Source organism: Homo sapiens, chromosome 1, assembly GCF_000001405.40.
Source record: "Homo sapiens chromosome 1, GRCh38.p14 Primary Assembly".
Classification (NCBI taxonomy): Eukaryota; Metazoa; Chordata; class Mammalia; order Primates; family Hominidae; genus Homo; species Homo sapiens.
Genome location: NC_000001.11, coordinates 81490088 through 81512951, shown reverse-complemented (window position 1 = coordinate 81512951; position 22864 = coordinate 81490088). Strand labels below are relative to the sequence as shown.

The 22864-nt window shown below is 40.2% G+C and overlaps 1 protein-coding gene and 1 pseudogene across 8 annotated transcripts in view, besides 2 other annotated features; both read right to left on the bottom strand.

The window, feature by feature from the left end:
• Positions 1-22864, bottom strand: part of ADGRL2 (adhesion G protein-coupled receptor L2) — a 687801-nt gene that overhangs the window by 480981 nt on the left and 183956 nt on the right. The window lies entirely within an intron of this gene.
• Positions 2994-3288: a silencer, noted in NCBI's record as "tiled region #8606; K562 Repressive non-DNase unmatched - State 24:Quies". NCBI's record gives its function as "represses a minimal TATA promoter and a strong SV40 promoter by Sharpr-MPRA in K562 cells {active_cell/tissue: K562}" and the evidence as "EXISTENCE:reporter gene assay evidence [ECO:0000049][PMID:27701403]".
• Positions 2994-3288: an enhancer, noted in NCBI's record as "tiled region #8606; HepG2 Activating non-DNase unmatched - State 24:Quies". NCBI's record gives its function as "activates a minimal TATA promoter and a strong SV40 promoter by Sharpr-MPRA in HepG2 cells {active_cell/tissue: HepG2}" and the evidence as "EXISTENCE:reporter gene assay evidence [ECO:0000049][PMID:27701403]".
• ARID3BP1 (ARID3B pseudogene 1) lies at positions 7211-11367 on the bottom strand (annotated as a pseudogene).

The following is a 22864-nucleotide window of genomic DNA, read 5'->3' as shown; positions in this document are numbered from 1 at the left end:
ATTAGCAAGCGTTGGGGACTAGGTAAAAAAAAAAATTAGCCAAGAGAAAGCAATGATTCTGATTAAGTAAATTCCATTGAACTCTTTCTAGTAAGCATTATTCAGGTCATGAATGCTAATTTGTCCTGCAGGGGGGCTGTGGGTAATTACCCAGAAAAACTATCAGCTTTATTGAGTTGCTACAAAACAGTATTACTGAATGGTACACTGTAAAGGAAGACAACCTTGATATGTACTCACAGAAAAGGGTATTTTTTCCCCCTACTGGGAAGATTTTATAGCCTAGATAGAAATGATAATAAATGGCATTTTGCTTAGAAAAATAAAGTCACATTGGTGTCACTTCCTGTTTAATAGTCAAATAAGATTTCTGACATGCAAAGAGATGTATCTGAGAAGTGCCACCAAGATACCCGAACAATTGTAGCTTTCTGCATATTTAACATTGTGTAGAATCAGAACCATCTTAAAAATGAAGCAAATATGGCACATTGGCCGCATTCCAGCAACTACACAGAACTGCTGACGTTACTAAAATCTAGATAATTTAGTCCCATATGGGAATCCATACCACAATTATATTGTCCCTGCTCCGACACAGCTCTGATTTTGCACTTCTTTAAGCCCAGCTTTTTATAATTTTAATTCCCTTCACCAATAAAGCAATTTGCATCACATAGTCTCCCTGTAAGAAAGAAAGAAAAAGAAATCTGTTGCATGACCTTAGTCTCTTTAGAGTTGATTATAAGGAAACAAACTCTTCAAGTAACCCATTCTCTCATCTTTTTTTTTAATTGATGTGAAACATCTCACTATAAACTGTAGAAGACTGTGCATAGCAGCCTACAGGCTCACATATTAAAATGTAGACGTGTTTAAAATCTCCTCATTTGCTCTTTTAGCACGATGAGGTAAAAGCCATCCTAAGTTTGCACAGACATACATTATGGACAAACAGATAAAGAGACAGCATTACCCTTTGGAATAATGGAATAAATTATTCCATTATTGCAATAAGCTATTATAAAACGTTGAGATTTTAAAAGGTGTTTTTACAACTTCTCACCCTTTACTGAAACAATTTGAAAAATGTGCTTGGTTGATTCACTAAGGCCTATCTTGACACTTCATAAGTGTTTAAAGAAAAAAAAAAATTCCGGAACATTGTTTTCTCTATAATTTGGTCCAAATAGTGTCAAAGTCCAATATTCACATGAAACATGATTTGCTTTTGACTCACTTTCCCTGCCTTAAAAGACAAAACAGCGAATAAGAAACATGTGGAAAGTAGAATCATATCAAACAAACTCTGATGAAAAAAGTGAGATTACTAATTTAAAATAAAATACTTTGGCCACTTCTTTCCCCCTACACAAAGAAAATAAAGGTGCAAGTTACCTATAATTATTAACAGTAATAGTTTGAGAGAACTGATATGTTAAAGAAGTAATCATTAATCTTGCTAATCGTTGGTATGTTGAGAAGTATTTGGCCTTTGGTGTTGGTGTTTTCTTGTATGTGTCTATGTGTGTGTGTGTGTGTGTGTGTGTGCGCGCTTTTTTTTTTTTTTTTTTCTGAGACAAGGTCTTGCTGTGTTACCTGGACTGGGCTTGGAGCTCCTGGGCTCAAGGGATTCTATTGCCACAACCTTCCAAGTAGCTGGGACTACAGGTGCTTGCCACTGTGCCTGGCTTGTTAGTTGTGGCTTTAATTCAAAGAAAGACAACATCCTCCAAGGTACCGGTTTTAGAAGGATTTTGTTCTGTGTTCTAAACAGTCAAATAATAGTATCTGGTTGTAGCTAAATAAGATATTTCATATTGTTATAGATATAATGTAAATTTTACTTTGAGAGGTAGTAATTTATATTTAATAAAAAATTTCCTCCAAGACTAAGAAATGTCTTCATATTATAGTCTTTGTTTTCCATTCACATTCAGTGCTAAGATAGAGTTAAACTTTGAAGCTTTGATTATATTCAGAGTTAATATGATTAAGCTTGCAGGCCATGCTCTTCATTTACTTTCTTGTGAAAACCTGTGCGAACTTGTATATACTCACATATCAAACCAAGAAGGCTATTTTTTTCCTTGTCAAATAGTTTCGTAGAAGGAGCCTGAAAAAGTTACCAACTATGAAAAAAGACAGCCCAATAATGGAGAGTTCAAACTGTTCATGTGTACTAATAATGAAATACACCGCAGTCTTTTTCATTCTTTCTACACCTTGAAAATGACAAAAAGGACCCTACATAACTTTCTGCCCCCTAGGGGATTAAAAGCAGCTCCCAGTTTTCACTGTAACTATAATCTATGTCTAATAATAGCCTTTCAGCAGATTTTTTTTTAAATCAATATTATCGCCAATGCATATCTTCTCTATTTCCAACCTTGAGAATGTAAAATTGTTTCTTTTTTCAATCATGGCTCATTTTAAGGGAAAATGAGTACCATATGTATTTCATATATATATTTCACGTGCTAAAGAGTTTGAATGAATGTGTTTGTCAGGTTAACACTTCTGGTTCTAATAAGGAATTTTGTTTTTCAGCCTTCTTTTCATTACTCACCTAGGACCTAATCTACCATCCTTACGATGAAAAAATTCCCTCTATTTCTCAAAATTGGGCCACTGAGGTACCTGCATGTTCCTGTCAAATTTGCTTTAAACTAGAGGATATGCACCTGATAAATATTATTATTATATTCAGTTTTCACATTATCATTATCACTCCTAACACAGCTAGCTCTGTAAGTAATAATTATTAACATGAATGTTAGTTCAGTCTAATTTAGTTCATTAGCAAGATAACTCCTTTGATTTCGAAAGAGGCATCATGACACTTTAATCAGTGGGTAGTACCAGCCTGTTTATTACCATCATTCATTAAACTTTTTTTCCTAACAGCGGTATTTGTTGGATGAGCATAAACTAAACATATAACAAAGTCACTTCAACTTTCTTTTTTTGGACTTGACTGTGTTTAGTGAAAGACTTGGACGCTTCCTTCGTCCGTCACCCTGGAATTCCCTCTGTTGGGCAGACTCGCAAGGATTAAGAAAGCTGTCCTGAGCATGTATTTCACTAAATCCTCACATACCATTCAGAGTGGCTGCTGCCTGAACAAGTTCCTCCTGTTTGCACACAAGAAATGGCTGGTGCAAACAATTCAATAGAGCGCTTGCCTGGCACAGTGAGTCAGGGTGTCAGTTCAGCTTCATGCCAGTTGTTGTTAATCCATTTGCTTTACATAAAAGATGGAAAACAGGGCTTTGTTACTTGAGCTAGCTCCTCAGGCTCTGTTTGAAGGGGCCTTTTCTCATTCATGTTTTTAACAGTTTCTAACATCATAAGCCTTCTTGTTAGGAATCTGGTAATATGATTTCTACCACAATGCAGGCAGGCACAAGGTTTACAGTAAATTCGTACGAACGGTGTGTCAAGAACGGTGTGTCAAAATGCTGCGTGTTCCACATCAGTTACAAAATGTGGATTTGAATAGGGCAGAAGGTCAATAGAAGGTCTGGTAGCAGATAGAGTGGTAAAAGGAATGTGCCAGGAAGCAGCTTTTTTTTTTTTACCATATCACTTAGGTATTTTTTCCGAAGTGATTCTAAGTGATTTTCCACGAATGGAAGACAGTATGTCTTGAGCAGAATGAGGGCTACATTGTCTCCAGGAGAAGCAAAGGCCACCAGACACTAAGATGCAGTTAACAGGGTATCAGAATTACTAGCAGGCTTGTTGGCTTTGTGAGTTTCTGTGCATTGATCTCCAATTCATTTTAGCAGTGGAAGTACCATACTCCATTACTCTAGATTTTAAGCATTCTGAAAAGCAGGGAATTGATGCACAAGGAATGTGGCAGTGGTTGAAAGGAAGGATGAAGAGCAACTTTAATCAAAATATGATTTTAGCATAAGAAGAGGGAAAGATGAGCTATGATACTGCATACATTAAAAGACAGATGAACCATTCCATTAGTAGATCAACAGTTCTTTGATCTGAACCTAGAAAAGAAGGTCACATGGGCTGGGGACTTTCTGAGGTTAGTTGTTCTAACCAAGTCCTGAAGCTATTTTCCAACTAATAATATATATTCTTGGCAAATATTTCACCCTCTAAAGGTTATGTCAGGGGCACATCTAGAAAATTAATGAAGGAACAATGTTGAGAACATTCCTTATGAGATGGCGGTACCCTCGTGTGTGATTCCTATGTTCCCTATTATGTATTCTGTAAAAAGATGGCAGGGCTGGCCTCATGGGTGCATACCCTATGCATAGGGCTTCATGTAGGTAGGGCCTGGCACTTGCTTTCATGCAGTGCTGTCACTACCTTGAAATCCTTAATCATTTTCTCTTTCAACTTGTGTTTGTTAGTGAAGTCTAATGGGACAATAGGGCATGCAAGGGAGCAGAGGAGACACATGCAATATATGTGTCTATTGTTCCTTGTCTCCTCATTCACATATAACGTTTGTAATGCCTCATGAGCACACTGGCGAACCCATAATGACTGGCAGGTCAGTGAGTCTCAAAGTGAGTACAACGTCAGCGTGTTATGTCTGTGACTGAGGTAGGGGTGATGATGATAACATAGAAGGTAACTAAAATATAAGGCAACACACAACTCTATTCCCTTTAAGGTCTTCCTTACTAATCAGTAAGATAGAAAGTGAAGGTAGAACATGCATGCATCGAGAAGTCAGACAAAAACAATTAAGTTTTGTGTAGCATTTTCACTGTTCTGGTAAGAATAAAATACATATGCATACACAAGCTACATAATATGAATTGTGTTATTTCAGTGATTCCATGTGCCTTAAATGCTCATATTTGCATTTGAAATTGGCATTGCACAATATAAAGCCGAGTGATAGAATTCATGCTAATAAATTAAATGTTTTCTTAGAATAATGTTAAATAGCAAATAAAAGGCAAAATAAAGTCAAGAGAAGGAGATTGGAAAGGAAAGAAAAAAGAAATGTTTTCTATTTTAGAACCTTTAACACTATTTTTTCCTGTCTTTAAATAAGGTAATCTCATGTTTTCATTTTGCACAGAACCCAACAGACAATGTAGCTGGCTCTAAAGGCAGAAAATATTTCTACCAGGAGAATGGAAAATGGGATATGTCCTTAGGTAGCATAAGGTAGCATAAACTTTCTACCTTTTCTGAATTATTCTATCTTTGATATCTCAATCACAACAATCATCAATGGAGCCCCTGTCAATGAAATCAAGAATTGAATCAGGCAGCAAACATGCCAGTCCCTATCATCGTTCCCCTCAACGCGGCTCAGCAGCTTGATGAATCCTTTTCCGCTTATGACAAATGAGGTATGACCAGCCGCTCCCTTGCTCTGCTTCCCTCTCGAGGAGTGAGATAAATGGCCACCATATAATGTGAAATGGAGGACTTGAGAGTAACGCAATTCCAAAACACGTGGTCACCATGCAAAATGTCACTAATCAGAGGCCAAGGAGCAAACAATTTGTAAATAAATCAGTAAATGAACAACACCCTAGGGGCTCCAAAGAGTTAATTTGCTTTTAGAGGATGAGCAATTTCCCTATCTGCACTGGTAAAATCAATCTCTTATTAGAACTGCTTAATGCTAGTGCCGCCTTGTAGAACTTTCTATCAATATTAAGTCTCCTTCTGTGCAGGAGAAAGTGCTGAGGGGCTCACTCTCTAGGTGGTGATTGCTCTCATACTCCCTGGGGCTTCCATTGGTCCTCCAGCAATTGATCAACTCAGCATATCTCACCTGTTCCTCAAGTAGCATCCTATCAGAGAAGCTTCCCTGATCACACTCTCTAAAACAGCAACCTTTCCCCCTTGCTATTAAAAAAAAAAATTCCTCCATTGCACTCTTTCTGATATATTATATAAATGATTTATTTTCTGGTTTGATTTATCTATTGGTTTATTTTCTGTCTCCTCCTAATTACACAGTCTGCCAAGGGAGAGTTTTGTTTTCTTCACTGCTGAATCCCCAGGACCTAGAACAGTGACTGGCCTGGAGGAGGCCCTCTGTACATTTGTTATGTAGATGAATGTGCAGAGGAAGAGGAAAGGGGTTGAAGGTCAAACAAGTTTGGAAAAGACTGGACTAAGCAAGATTCAGCAATCTTTTTTGTTGCAGGCGTTAACAGGGCCTTTGGTAACTCAACAATTTATTGTCTGGTTTTTTGTTTTGTTTTGTTTTGTTTTGTTTTGTTTTGTTTTGTTCTTTTGAGACTGGGTCTCACTCAGTCACCCAGGCTGGAGTGCAGTGGTGCCATCACATCTCACTGCAGCCTCAACCTCCTGGCCTTAGGTGATCCTCTTGCCTCAGCCTCCTGAGTAGCTGAGACCACAGGTGTGCACTGACACACCTGGCTAATTTTTTAATTATTTGTAGAGATGGGGTCTCCTTATGTCATCCAGGCTGGTCTCAAACTCCTGGTCTCAAGTGATCCTTCCCACCTCAGCCTCCCAAAGTGCTGGGATTACAGGTTTGATACACCGCGCCTGGCCAACATTTCTTGTCAAACTCCATCTGAGATACAGTGCATAAATCAATTGGACCACAGGATTTTTTCCCTCTACCCCTCCACCCTCATTTAAAACAAGCATTCTTCAGGACACATTTTGGGAAATGGCATCTTAAGTGGTAATTTATTGACCTCATGGAATTTTAAATGAACCTTTTATCAGTGTAAATCCACCTCTTTCCTCCAAGTTCTTAATATTTAATGAGGCGGCCTCTCTTGGTCTTTAAAAGGTGCTACCAGCCTGTCCCGCTCTTTCCAGTTTCAACATGTTCTTGAATTTCATAGGAAAATAAGTTTACTCTTGACCTGTATTTGATGCAAACACCACAGTTTTGGTTGCTCTGCCCATTTTGTTCTCTGCATTTCCTGTAATTTTGCATGCTCACCAGTCTGTCTCTTCAAGAACAGGAACAGAAACTCCTACAGGTAGAGGGAAAGGATCTGATTTACGTGCAATGATCTTTGCAGAGTATTTGGGCCCATCTTTTGCACAGCGTGGTGCTTTTTACATGATTTTAATGAAAATTGTGTAATGACATTGATCCCATTTTAAAGAACAAAAGCTGAGGTGGATATCAGAAAGTAAAAACGTGCTTTTTTTTAATAAAAACTCAGATTTTTCTCAGTTCTAGGTTTCAGCCTCCTATTTTTTTTTTTTTTTTTTTTTTTGCAGGAGGACATCTGAGGTATTTATTCACTGCCTAGGCTACCCATGTGCTATCACATTTTTCCTGGTTAGAATACATATAAGATGGAGAGCAGGAGGGGACAGAGCTGCCCTGGCTGATGGCACCTTCAGGGGAAGCTCTGCTTGGGCCAAGGCCCCACTCGTGGGGGCACCTGCTGGCATCCCTCATCCGGCTCTGGGTGACACCCTGCTGTTGTCCTTGAGGGCAGTGAGGGTTCACTCCAACGGTGTGGCCAGGCGAGCTGCCTGGGGAAAGGGAGAGGATCCAATGACCGGAAAGACACAGTGTGCTTTCCCTGCATCCTCTGGGTGGGAAGAGTCCATCCTTTGTGACCAAACCCCTGAGAAAGACATACTGGCCAAATGTCTGAGACACCTTCAAATGGGCCCAGTGCCAGCCAACTGGGCTCCTCACTGGCACCACGTCCCAGATGCCCTTCTCTGCCCACACCCTGCAGGCTGAGGCCAGAGGAGGTCAGCCCTCGGGAGATGGTGTGTGTGTGTGTGTGTGTGTGTGTGTGTGGGAGTGGGGGTGAGCGTGTGTGGAGGGCTGAGAGAAGACGCAGTTGAGCAGAGCTGCAGCTTACCGGGCTGAGGTATCTGTTTGTGCTCAAGCTTTTGATTCCCTTTCCTCTCCTACACAGGACTGAGTGCGAGCCACGCCGCCACACACACCCACGCCACATGCGGTGTCTCCCACTGCCACAGCCCCATGTCACAGTGGTGGTGTTCTGCTGAACATTCCAGGGCTTCCTCGACTGAGGTGAGCCGCAAGCGAATCAATTTTCTTTACAGCACAGGAGCCGCCTGCTCCCGCGCAGGGTCCAGGAGGAGCTGTGGAGTTATTCATCTCCTCATACCCTGGGGCGGCTCAACCTCTGGCAAGGCCAGCGAGGACCCCAGCCTGCCTGTGCCCTGAGCTGGGAATGCTGAGTGATGGGGAGGTGTCCTCTGCCTCCCTGGTCAGCTGGGGGTGGGGGTGTGGCAGAAAACGCTCTTCAGAACTGGTACGGTTTCAGGGCCCGACCCAGTGTGAGAGCGGGCCTCTCCACTCCACCTCCCCGCCCCCGTGATCCCTGAGTCGTCTCCCCTGCATGCCTCCACCCACCTCCTCACTGGGCTTGAGGGAAGGGCCAGAGGGGCCGGGGTACCCAATCACTTGCTTGGCTTTGGGGGTGATCTGTTTTCATTTCTTTGGTGTACAACAATAAAAATTTTAAAATAAAAAAAAAAGTCAGCAAAACACATATAAAAAAGATTTCAGAGATGCAAATACTTCCTGAAGACTCAAACATCAACAATTACAAATCTGAGGTATTTCAATGAACCTGACATCGGCACGTGTGGGGATGGTGAGGCCAAGATGGCCCCATAAGAAATAGAAGAGGGCTGAAGAAGGCTGAAGAAGGCTGAAGAAGGCTGGGGAGGACTGGGGAGGGCTGAAGAGGGCTGGGGAAAGGATGAGTGGGCTGTTTTTGGGAAAGCAGGACAATAAGGGCAAGCGGGGAGCATGAGGTTTGGGGGGGCGGCCAGAGAATGGTCCGTGTGAAGCAGGTGCCAGGGCTGGGCAGCCCCGAGGCTCTGCCTTCCCATCAGCAGATGCCCTGTGGGCCCTGGCCCTGAACTGCCCTCACAGCCTCTTCCTTCAGACCATTAGAAGGGGGATCTGGGGCCCTGAGGACTGATTCAAGACTTGTGTTTGAGGGACCCGTACCCCAGGAACCTAACAGTAGGCAAAGTGGGCTGGAAGGGCACCAACCATGCTCAGCAGAGAAGGGCATGAAGGCATGCTCTTGGCTCCTGGCAGCCCCACATGGGACTTAAAAACAGGGGAAGAGACTAGTGGCCCTGGGGTCATGGCAGAAGGCAGGGGCAGGGAAATAAATTAAAAGGGGAGGGAAATGGAGGGCCTCCAGCCCTGTGTCGGCTGACAGATTGTCGATACACTGTGCCCCGAGCTGGGAGGTGGCTGGGGAACCCTGGAGGAAGCTGGACACCCACAGACCCCCACCCAGTTCTCCAGGACAATCCCTGATTGGACAACGCTGTCTGTCCTGCCCCTCTAGCCTCTCCCTGCCCCCGGAGTACAGCAGGACCTGAATGGAGCCTGGACAGACGGACACGTCCAAACTCTCAATGTCTGGCCAAATGGTGCTCGTCGACGTGGGCTCCGTGAGATGAGGTAAATTCTGTGCATCAACTTCCTTCACTCTCGACTGGAGAGTGGCAAGTGGAAAGCTGGGTCCTGCCCATCAGAGGGACCAGCTGGTGGAGGGCTCTGCGCTGGGGGTGCCCCGGGATGAGGTAGGACTTGGTGAACAGTGAGAGCTGCTGCTGCTGCTGGCGCTGCTGCCGAGGCTCTGGGGAGCAGACCCCGTGATGAGGTGGACCACAGGCTTCTGGGCAAACAGCACACCTGCGTAGGTGGTGCCATCGATGTCCACAGACATGTTAACGCTCCCAATGCTACTCGTGGTCAGGTTCAGTGCTGCAGCCGAGGCCTCTGCTCTGTCTTCCCTGCCGTTGATCCTGATCTTCATGGGGAGCTGCCGTGCCATGCTGAAAAAGTTGCGCTGGAAGGCCTGCTGCACCAGGCGCTGCTCCTCCTCAGACAGCCTCGACGCCTTCTTCTCAGCAGGCTCCCCTGACTCCAGCCGCTCCCGCAGCTGCTCCAGTGCGGCGGTCCGAGTACCAGCCTGCTGGCTTGCCAAGGTCACGGGCACAGCCAGACGATTTGGCACAGCCACTGTTGTCACTGGGGCTCCATCACCTTTCCTGAGAGTGGTTGCTGGGGATATTCGAGGGCTACTGGTATTGGTGCCACTGCTGGAGCCAAGCCCAAGGATGGGAAAGCGGATCTTGGGTGGGGAGAGGAGGGCAGGGGCCTCGGCAGCGGCAGCAGCAGTAGCCGCAGCAGGTGAGTAGCCAAAGAGGGAGGAGCTGTAGCTGGGCCGCCGGCTCTCCCTGCGGTTGCCATCAATTGCTGCCTGGAGCTCGGCTGGGGAACTCAAGGCTTTCTTCTCACACTCATAGGCATACAGATACTTCATGTACTGCGTCCTGAGCTGAGGGTGAAGGCAGCGCTGGTGATGGATGTGGGCAGGTTTAGGCCTTTGGTGATCTCCCTCCAGATCTTCTTGTTGATGATCTCCACCAGGCCCCCCTTCTCGGTCACCAGCTTATACAGCATGTACAGGTCCAGGATCTGTTTGGCCATGATGGGGATTCGGTTGATGGGGGTCCGCCTCTTCTGCATAAAGACGAAGAGGTCATCCAGGAACTCTTTCCTTTCAGGATCACCGTCCAGTTCATACAGCTTGGCAAAATCTCGAGAGATCTCTCTTCCCCGGCCTCCATCTGCATCATCACTCCAGGCCAAACCACCATTCTGCTTGAGCTGCTCATCCAGATTCCAGTTCAGCTGTCCTGCTGTGGAGACAGAAGATGAGGCCTTGGAAGCATCTTTGGTATGGTCTTCTTTAGCTTGTTGTCCATGTGGTGGGAGCCCTGGTGCTGGAAGTAGATTGGACATGGGTGCCACTCTGGGATCTTGGCGAGCTACTTTCTGCACATGAAAATATTTTGAAGCAGCCTGGGTTTCTTTCTCAGCCACCTCTGCAACTTCATCATCCCCGTCCTCATCTTCCAAACCTCCGTCCTCTTCCTCAGGCTCTGAGTTCATGTTGCCCCGTTCAAACACTTGGGCCACTGCTGCGGTGGGTGGAACTCTGGCTAAGGGACCTAAGGGAGTGCTGCCAGAAGGTCTCCCAGCTGTGGCGGAAAAGAGAGTCGGCTGCGTGACCAGCTTTTGGGCATACAAGAACTGGGCTTCTCTCATCTGCTGGCCCTGCTTCTCTCTGGCATCCATCTGCAGAGGAGCCAGGTGTGGCTGCTTCTGTTGCTGCTGCTGTTGCTGCTGCTGCTGCTGCTGCTGCTGCTGAAGTGGCTCCATTTTTGCCTCAAGCTTCACCCACAGAGTGGCATGACTCTGAACCTGGGCACAGCCCACCAGGCACACTGGGTCTAAACCTGTGCGGGGCACTCCGGGTTTTCGGGTGGCGGAGGAGGCGGCCGCTCAGGCCCAGGCGCGGCAGCTGCGTCTCGGACTCCTCCGCAGCCGGGGGCCACAGCCGGGGCCTCAGCCTCCTATTTTTATAAATGATGTTAATGTGGAAACATGCTCTGTGCCTCGATGAGTGAACCAAGATATAAACTTTATAAGGCATACGACACATTTTCAGGACAGAATGTGAGCTCTCACTAAAATGGAATTTCAAGTCACAGCAGCTCTAAGCAGAAATAACTTGCATTGAACTCTCAACACACATAGGAGATGACCCAGAGAGCTAGTAAAATCACATAGCAGAAATATTGCAGAATAGTACACCGATCAGTTGTTGGGAGGTACTTCCAGACAAATCTTCAGATGTCCTTGGTAAAACCCATAAAAATGTGTGCATAGTTTGAAGGCTAAAATGCTATGTTGTGTATAAAGGTGAACAGAGTAAGTTTTATAAATCCAAGTACTTTTATACTTGCATTTCTCTATTAAAGGTATCAAATCTATCCTTAAACAATTAACATTGTGGCAGCAGTAATTTTGCCCCTGCGAGTTAGCTCTATGGTACTAATGAGTACTTTCTAGTCTTTAGGATAGGCAAAGGGTATGAATCCAGAATACAGGAATTTTTGACTTGGCTTGAACATATTACCATCCAATTCGAGACCCACAATTTGGAGATCTGACTCGAATTGAAGTTTCTACATTTATATTAGCTCTCTTTTGATAGACTCAGACTATTAGTTTTGGATATCAAAGAGTTTCTTTGGAGAAGGGGCTCTATTTTTTCAAGAAATTTGGTTTATCTTTTTTATTTTGGGAAAATATATATAAAATTTACCATTTTAAGCACTTTTAAGTACACAGTTCAGTGACAATAAGTACATTTACTTAAGTACATTCTACAGTAAGTACATTGTTGCACACCATCACTAGTATCCATTTTCACAACTGTTTCATCATACCAACTGAAACTCTGTATCCATTAAACAATAAGTCCCCACTTGCCCTGGTGCTCAGTCCCTGGTAACCTCTTTTATATTTTTCTTCTTTATGAATTTGACTATTCCAGGTACCTCTTATATAAGTGAGATCCTGCAGTATTTGTCCTTTGATTTCTGGCTTATTTCACTTTGCATATCTTCAAAGCTCATCCACATTGTAGCATGGGTCAGAATTTTATTCCTTTTGAAGAGGAATGACATTCCTTTGTATGTATATACCACATTTTGTTTATCCATTCATCTGTAGATGAACATTTGGGTTACTTCCACCTTTTGACTATTATGAATAATGCCACTATTAACACTGTGGTACAAACATCTATTTAGATCCCTGCTTTCCATGTTTCTGGGTATATGCTGAGAACGGGAATTGCTAGATCATACGGTAGTCCTTTGTCTAATTTTGCAGGACCACCATACTATTTCCACAGTAGCTGCTCCCATTTTACATCCCCACTAACAGCAGGCAAGTGTTCCCATTTCTTCACATCCTTGTTAACACTTGATTTTGGTTTTAATAATAGCCATCTTAGCGAGGAGATGTGTTTTATCTTTTTGTTTCATAAATACTTTATCCTTTGCATTCCATACAAAACTCTGGCAATATGATTCCTAAGTGACTGACACTGAGTTAAGAATCTTTTTCTTTTTCAGCCTAAGGATATATCATTCATTCTTTCTAAACAGATCTATTAATTTTTTTCAAGAAAGCATAGTTATATTATATATATTTATAAATGGAGATTATGTGTATACACATATGTACATATAAATATAAAATGTATCACTATCATTCTCTTGGTTTTGTTATATTAACAATACCTACTGTCATAAGAATAATGAAAGTGAATATAAAACGACTATCTGAATTACTAAAACAGGTAAGCCAAATACTTTCTTTTGACACCCAATTCTGCATGTATTTATAGCAGTGGTAAGCTTTTGTTTTGGGGCTTGCTAGTAGTGGAATCAATATAACTCTTTTAACTTTTTGCATTCAGGTTCACATCATGCTGTCTCATGTAAGCTTCATAAATACAGATGCTTCCTGCCTGTGGGGTTCTCACAAGGGCATAGATTCTAGGCTCAAATGATGAAACGTTACCTTTGTTAGAACCAACACCAGCAAGATGCTCCTATTAAATAAGACAAACAGGTGGTTCAATGTTTTGTGATAATTTTAACAACCGGGTTCAAGTCCCATTCTATCTTCTAAATTAACTGCAAGGAGATCCATCACTCAGGCCAATAACTTACATGGCAGATTGTGTGGTCCTTACCATATAGGCTTCTGTGATCACATGTGTGAATCACAGCATTTATGCTGCCTAAGGCACTGGCCTGCAAAAGCAGAGCCTAGACCCAGCTGATTAAGCTGTAGCATAAAAGAACACTTCAGTAGTCAGGAGCATGACAGCCCACAATGGTTTATTGGACCAAAGAGTATAACATTGTAATTTACTTCTCGAATACATGTCATGTTCTCTCTTATTGTTTCCCCTTATGGAGTGAAATATGTAGGTAAGAGATTGCTGTACAAGCTTCATGTGTTATGCCCCTCCAAAATTAGAGGGTAACAAACTGTCTTTATTATCCTGTGCCTTTGGTAAGCTGCCACAAATCACAGAAACCACTGCAGGTGAGCATCTAGTGGTTTAAAAAGTCAAGGCAAGCTAAAAGACTTCGTGTCTCTGCCTGAAGCTATTTTTGAACTACAGTACAGTGAGACACAATTATTATGCTTCCTGGCCCTTCCTTTTTATTGTATGTTCCTAACCATTTTTTTTCTTTCTTATTGACAGGAAACCAGGATTTATAAAGTCTGGCTCAACGCAAATATTTAAAGACTTATTTTTTTTTTCTTTCCCCAAACATAACAATGTAAGTTGAATGGTGTTTTGGTGAGTTTATTTTTCTTTTTAAACTGGAATTCATGGCTGTTCTCCAGCTGAAAACAGCACTAGTCACAGATAATTTAAAGAGAATAGCTTGCTTGTTTGTCAAGCAAACATGTGTAATCTGATGAAATTATTAATGTCATAGTGTTAACTCTCTTCTCATAAATACAGTTAACAGTGCTGACACTGCAATTATACTCAGATGTTCCGGCTCTTTGCTTATTCACTCAATCTGTCGGTCCAGTATGGGGGAGACAAATTGTGGTGGGCACTTGACAATGCACAAAAGAGATATAAACCTCTTCTGATTAAGCCTTGATGAAAGATTAAATGGTTCTGAATGCTTGCCAGATTCTTGTGATATGACATTTTTAACCAGCGGTAATAAAAAATTCTACTCAAAAGGGTTTTCTCAAACAAAGATTATAAAGATTGCATATATATGTATATATAAATAATGTGTACACATGCATATATTAGATATGGTAAGAAAGAGCATGTTCACTTCTTACCTTGAATTCCAACTTTATAACAAGATAATTTCACGATACTTGCTAGATTTTTGCAGACATTTGTTCTGAGAGAAAACAACACATACTTCATAATTACCAACATTACTGTCTTCTTTACCATCCATCTACCAATGGAATAGTCCTTCACAGTAGCTCATTCATAATGAGGGTTCCTACATTCATTTATTATTATTATTATTATTTTAGTAGAGACGAGGTTTCACCATGTTAGCCAGGATGATCTTGATCTCCTGACCTCGTGATCTGCCCGCCTCGGCCTCCCAAAGTGCCGGGATTACAGGCATGAGCCACTGCAAATTTTTGCCATACCTATTCTGTCAGCAGTCAAGAATGAGTAGTGATCTATTGTATGCTTTAGCCTTTGAATTTTTAAACAGTTCACATCTTTTCACTTTTGGCTTTAGATCAAACAAAAATAGACCAGTTAATAATGGCTAACAACTATGTAACACTTCCTCTGTCCAAGTAGTGTTCTAGGTACTTCACATACTTCGCATCATTTCATTTCTTATATGAAGTATCTATTAGTAGTTTCCTCTTTCTGCAGATGAGTAAATTGAGGTAGAGAAAGGTTAAACAACTTGCTTAAAGTCACACAGCTCATAACAGGTAGTCCTAGGATTTGAATCTAGATATATCACAACATAAAATTGTAATAAACTTTAGGTTAAGAATCTATAACTATTCTTCTTAGATTTATAGATTATTATAAAGCATTTTTGTTCTATAAGATTAGACTTATTTCATCTCCTCATATATCCCACCCTGTGTAAAGACATCCTTGAATGAACCTCATAAAATAATTATAGTCCATATTGTTAAAAAAAAAACCATAGCAACATGGATGTGTTGTAATTATTAGTCTTCATATTAAGAAGTCCACTAAATTGAAAAGTTTCTTAAATATACAAACAAAGAAACCTCTTGCATTTCAATACGCTAGCGCCTGGAGCAAATGCATTTATTAAAAGTGAAAGGAAATGGGGAACCAAGACAGGTGAACCCAGCTACCTAGACCTTTTTGTTGACACATTTGGAGCAGATAAATAGAAATAATAAAGAAAACTGGCAGTTTTCTACACAGTGTTATGGCAAAAAATCTTGCTGCACATTCAGGAGGAACCTATATAAGTCATTCCTGGCCCTTTTGTTCTCTTTATATTTGGTTACAGAAATTATGTAGTTGTGTTCTTTCTTTTCCATTATGTGGAGCTTGTGTGAGGAAAGATCATTTCAGGGAAATGAAAAGGGTTTTTAAGTGGTTAGTAGAAGAAAAAAAATAATCAGGTAGAAAGGGGAGGACAAAGCCAACCCAGAAAAGGAAAAAAAATATATTGTTTTCCTCTTAAATTGTGTTAAACAGTTGTTTCCCACTTTGAAAGTTCATTATATTTATTTGTCATCAGGGTAATTGATCTACACTTGTTGCTAAGTCTGTTGCTTGCCTCCTGATGAACAGATTCATTAAGCTCATTTCTAATCTCTGTCTTCTAAATTCAATAAGCACTATAAAATTTCTTTCCTTGTATGGGAATTCTAAGGTCTTTTTTTTTTTTTCCTCAACAGCTTGAATTCCTGTATTCTGATTAAGATAGATGAAGTATTTGCATTCTATCCATATTCATAATCTTCTTTCAGAGTCAACCTAAAATACCACATTTGTTGCCCAGGCAGACACAGGCAATGTGTTAGGAGAGCTCTGCAGCTTTTTGTTTAGATGGATGACGACCCATCTCTTTTCAAATCCACAGAAGAGGTGGTCACTAGGTGAATTCAGGCTGTTAAGACATCAGAACAGTCATAGTGTCTTTTGTGTGTGACAGAAACTGTAATTAATGATTTCTCCCCCTTTTTTGCTAAAGAAAAAAAGAGCGACTTGCAGTTGACAGACATTTTATTAATAGTTTCTGCCAACTTGCCATGCATAAAAGGTTTTATTGGTTGCAATGCCAGTGTAAGAAAAAGTTCTTTTTGATAAAATGTTCAAGATGCTTGTTTTATGGATGAAAAATGAAGGCAATCTGTCTACCGCCACTGAAAGTTTGGGTTTCAATAATAAAATTAAAACGATTGTGACATTTCCTATTGTGTTATTTAACCATCTGCTTCCTACTGGTCTAATCAATGATGGCATTACCTAGCTCTTCTCTATTTAATATGAAGACCTGCCAATATTGTGTCTCATGGTTAATTTATGAGGGAGATTTATTATTGATAAAGGTGTTTGCATATTTGGTAACTGCTATTCCTCCTATGAAAGGGAATTCTTCTGTCTTGTGTTTGAGGGTTAAATATTCAACTTGACAAAGAGCAATGGATGTTTGTACCCTCTCAATAACTAGAAATCTAGAAACTGTACAGGAGAACAATGAGAAATGGTTACCAATGACAAACTTATCAGGTGTTTTCTGTATAACTTTAAGCAAGCATCTGTCATTTTCTTGCACCGCATTTAGTTAAAAGCACAACTTCTGAAATATTTTCTCAACAAAAGCATGCTAAATTCCTAGTTACCTGAGTTGAAATTTTTCCCCTTTTAAAATTGTTTGTGCAAGTTTTTCTATGGAGTTGATGTGCTGTTTCAATGATTTCTGCTCATCAATTAAGAGAGAGAAAAACACACTTTACCACATGGATTCACAATAAAACAATGAAGGTGCTTCATTGCAGTTTGCTTAATCAGCCATTATGAAGAGATGAGAGGGAGAGGGTTATTCAATATTTTAATAAGTCTTTGGATTTTGTTGCAGCACAAATGGAATTTAATTAGAAATGTGAAACATTAGGTACTACTAATTACTGACAAACTTGAAAATATACCTGCTCTATTTTACTTGTAATAATCATCATTATTAACTTAAACAACCTTTAGCATTTGCCCATAACTTTTACAAACTTCAATTTTTAAGTCTTAAATCATTCACATTTTGGGAGAAGGGAGGCAGCTGGAGATGAGCGCCTTTTGCAAATTGATCTGCAAGTAGTCATTCATTTTCTCTGGGAATTTTTACGTAAGCTCCCTTATTGGGAATATGCTAATGACATCCGCCATGATTACTGATTTTCTCTGAATCGTTATTCCTCTGTGGGCAAAGTAATCAGAAAGGGAGAACAGGAGATTTCCTTCTTGCTTGTGTTCCTTCTTCAACCATCTGCTCTACCCTGATTCATTTGAATTAGAGCTGCAGTTTTCTGATTCTTTACTCTGAAATCCTAAGGCATTTGAAAGCTTAAAAGGAGTTAATAGTTATCTATCTGTGTCACAAATATGGTTCTCTGTGTGTTCTAAGTGCAAATTTGCCTACTCAAGGTTTACATGGGCGAATTAATTTTATTAAGTATAATATGGTAATGTAGGTTAGCAGCTTCATTATTTGGGATGTGTCAGCTCTGAATACTTCTTTATTAATGGCCTTTAGCACAGACATTTCCAAAAAGGGGAACTGATGTATTAAAACAAAAGATTCCAAGATGAAGAAAAAGTAAAATCAAGTAAAATTGTAAAGAGAGAGAATTTGTAAAAGAGAAGTGTTGATGTCCATGTTTTCCAGTTACATTTGTAGGGGTGCCAACAAGAATGATGGACTGGTTGGTAATCAAGACTTCTGGGTATCAGGCCACACTTTGGCACCAAAGTGCTGTGTTCTTGAGGAAGTTACTTTATTTCTCAGAGTTCTGTTTTCTCAGTGGTGACATGAAATGAATGTCACAGGTGATCTTTAAGATTTTCTTCATCAGTAAAATTTTGTGACTGTATTATTTATCCCATGAAGCAGATTGCAGATGATGGGAAAGTTGCTTTAGCATGGGCATTTGATCTTGTCCAGGGAAAAGCCATTCCAAGATAAACTGTTCATCTTCAGAAGAAGGATAAGGGACTGAGCCTCCAGATTATACTTTTTAAAATGACGAGTATAGACCAGATTTTAAAAATGGGACACATTATCTTGTTTCAGTTTACATGGAATGGATAAATTGCTGAGAATGTTGCTGATTGATTGAAGCAAGCCTTACACTTCAGTGAGTGAAAATCAGCAAGATTCTGACACCCCTACTGAGACAGAGCTAACTTAATATGCAGAATTGGCATTTAGGCAAGAGAGTTTGCAAAACTTGGTGCTATTAGATCACTGAACATTGTCAAAACATGAAGGAGACATAAGTTTGTGACTGTTGACATTCTAGCATTCAGCTGATTTCAAAGTGAAGTGAGCAATTCATATTAAAATTGTTTCAGAAAGTGCCTCTATCTTGTCCTACTCACCCACATTGCCTCTTATTTTCTTCACATTGAGAATCAGACTGAGAACAATACAGCTGTCCCCACGTTTTAAATAATTAATAAGCCCTCTCCCCAAGTAAGCAACAGGATTTTTGAATAAGTGTATAGCGTCTACTGATCCAAACTTCTGAGGAAACTGTTGGCTTGTGCTGCAAGTAACCACTGACCACTCCCTCCTGCCTTGTAAATCGAATTTTTTTCTTCTGTCCATTTTTTCTGGCAACCATTACTGATTTGTGTTCTGATTTCTGTTTGACAGTTCTGGCTTATTACAGGCTGAGTGACAAAGCCAAGACTTAAATAGAAATTACTTCACTGATGTGTTTCAGCTGACCAGAGACAAACTCTTGCCCAAAATAACCTCCACTCCCTTCCTTCCAAATATCCCAACAACGGGAAGAAACATACAGCCACTGTCTTCTTTTTTGATGTATTATACAAATAGAACACTTTTGAGAAATAGGCCTAAAAATAGGAGAGCACAAGCGTATCTTAATAGTTAATGAAATAAAATTTCAAGGGCCTGAAATTAAAGATAGGCAGGTAGCCAGTGATAGATAAAGATAAGTATTTATTGCAACCATGGGCCTATGTTTGATGGACAGCAAATATGCTTTCCCTACAAGTTTGGCTTTTAGCTAGAGTTATACACTGTCTTGTCATGCTGACATGCAGGGCAACCTCACATTGCATCTGCTGAGCTATCATGCTATTGCATTTAGTTTTACTGTGGGGCGGGAGTGGGGTACATTTGTTTGATAATTTCTTTTCTCCTGAAATACATTTCACAAACCTGTTGGAGGCTGAATGACTCTGCTTCTTAGAACTATATCACATTTAGATACAAATATTTTTCACTGGTACTTGGACTGAGTTACATTGTTTTTTAAAAAGGAGTTTTCTTCTTTCAGGTTTTGTCTATCACTTACCTATAGTTTTATGTATTTGCTCCTAGATTTTAAAAATACATATTACACATTAGATGTCAGAAGAGATCATAATTCAAGGTCATTTTATACCACTCACATACTCTTCTATTCTAAAACAAATGACCTTCCTGTTATGTTTCTGGATAGAAGAAGAAATCCAGAAAGGAAGTATACTCTATTCATCAGTCCCTACTTAAGCAAATTTCTGATTGACGTCAGTAGTAAACTCCACATCAGCAGATCAGAATAGTATCTGGATGGCAATATTAAATGCCTTGCTGTTTAAAACTTCTTTCTGAACTTAGAATATTGAATATTATATCCAATTTTGAAGATGATTTTATTCACTTGAAATTAGTTTTTCCAACTTTAGAAATGAAGCATTCTTAGTTTAAGTTTAAATATTGCACAGTGATGATTTTCAACAATTAGAAACACATAGTACTGTAGTATGTCTAGGTCCAAGTATTTCTAATTTATGCATACTTTTTTCTAGCAATAATCTAAGCATTTCTTTTTTATTACATTTCTCATTCCCATGTGATCTCAGTCAATAGACTGTCATTATCAGAATAAAGTTCTGTGTGTTTAACTGAATTTTGAATTTTTGAAACAAAACTATTTGAATATTGATATTTAAAAAGTAAGCAGAATTTGAAGTGTTTTTCACTTCATTGGTTATTTTACAAAGATATTTACATAAAATCACCTTCTCTTTTGTGTGTTCAAGATTTACCCTTTGCTTTTCTTCTTCTTTTTCATTAATTCAAACCACATATGCAAAGTCATGAGCGTTTTCTACATATTAGGTCAAAGAAAATAAAAATGTTAGACTGAAAAAAGGATGACAGAAACATTACTGGAGATGGGCAGTCTTTATTTCCTACTAGAAAGAAACAAAGTTATAAATTATTGCACATACTCCTTTTTAAACAAAATTAAAAGAGTGGTTTTCTTCCTTTCATGTAAAATGCCAGAAACAGGCAGTCCAGGGTGAAGATGAGGGCCTCTATGGTCATCAGAGACTCAGTTTCATTCTTTGTGCTTAACTACATTTTGGCACTGGTTTCCATCTTCAGTCATCTCATGTCATATGGTGACTGCAGCAATACCAGCTTTCATGGCCACATCACTTTGGACAACCCTGTTTACAAGGAGAGCTGAATAATGCAACATTTCGCGAGCACAGTATTGCATAGAATAAATCTGGGGTTCTCTTGATTGAGAAAGAATGACAGAAAAAAATAACAAGTGGATAATTAGCAGCACCCACCACCGTAGAAATTGTTTTACTTTCTAGTCCTGGGTTAAAATGTTTTCTTTTAGCACCTTTTCTATTCCCTGTGGAAATAAGATTTCCTTTCTTTCTTTTTACTCAGTGTTGTCACTTCTCTTTCTGTCATCTTTGGTTCTAACAAAGCTCAGTTTTTCTCTCTTCCAATTTGAGATGTTGGAATCCCTTCTGTTTGTGTTTTTAAAGTAACTCTTTCTAACATTTGCTTCATATTCTAGAATTATGTGTCTCTTCATCTCTAGGCTTACAAATATATAATCTTGAGTAGTCTTTTTTTTTGAAGCAGAGTATATATAGCAAAATCATAAAAGTATAGCTTGATGAATTTTCACAAAGAACACACCCATGTGAGCATTACCCAGATTGGGATGTATAGAGAATCTCACCTAGACTAGACTATCTTCCATATGCCTCCTGCTAGTTACTGTTCTCCCAAATGTAATAAAAATTCCAACAGATATCACATAATTTAGCTTGTTTTAGAGCTTTATTTAAATGAAATCCTATAGCAGGTACTCTTTTGTGTTTAGCTGTTTTCACATAACATTATATATTTGTCCACTACGTTTCATGTAGCAGAAGTTTATTTTTATTGTTTTAGAGAAGTTATTCTCAAGGGGGTGGGATTTAATCCCCCAAGGCGACATTTAATGGTTACTGGAAACATTTTATCACAACTAGGGAAATGCTATTGGCATCTAGTGGGTGCTACTAAATATCTTACAAAGTACAGGTCAGATTCTCATAACAAAGAGTTATCTGGCCCACAAGGTCAATAGTGCCTTACTTTAGAATACTTCACTGTTTTATTTATCCATTCTATTGTTGGTGGGCATTGTGTTGCTTGCATTTGGGGTTATGATGAATAAAGTTGCTATGTACATTCTTGTGCATGCCTTTTAATGTGCATATGTATGCATTTATGTAAAGGATATGCTTAGGACTAAAATTTCAAGTACCTTCCACTTTGGAAAATACTGCCAAGACGCCTTCCAAAATGACTGTGTTGTATGCTCTCACCAGCTGTGTGTGAGTTGCAGTTGCTCCACATCCCTGTACATCATTGGTATTGTTATTAAAACATTTCTTTAAAAAACTATTTTGTGGGTGTTAGTAGTATCCCACTGTAGTTTTAATGTGCAGTTTCTTGCTGGCTAATGAGGTTGAGAATACTGTCATAAGCTTGTCACTATTTGGGTACACTATTTAATAACTTGCCTATTTAGTCTTTTGCCCATTTTTCTATTAGGCTGCTTCCTTTTTCTAATAATTTTTAGGAATATGTTAAGTTGCCAGGCATGGTGGCTCATGCCTGTAATCCCAGCACTTTGGGAGGCCAGGGCCGGTGGATCACCTGAGGTCAGGAGCTCGAGACCAGCCTGACTAACATGTTGAAGCCCCATCTCTACTAAAAATACAAAAAGTAGCCAGACATCATGGCGCACACCTGTAATTCCAGCTACTTGGGAGGCTGAGGCAGGAGAATTGCCTGAACCAAGGAGGTGGAGGTTGCAGTGAGCCAAGATCGTGCCATTGCACTCTAGCCTGGGCAACAAGAGCGAAACTCTGTCTCGAAAAAAAAAAAAAAAAAGAATATGTTAAGTCGCTCAAATCATGTAGAAAACAAAAAGTAG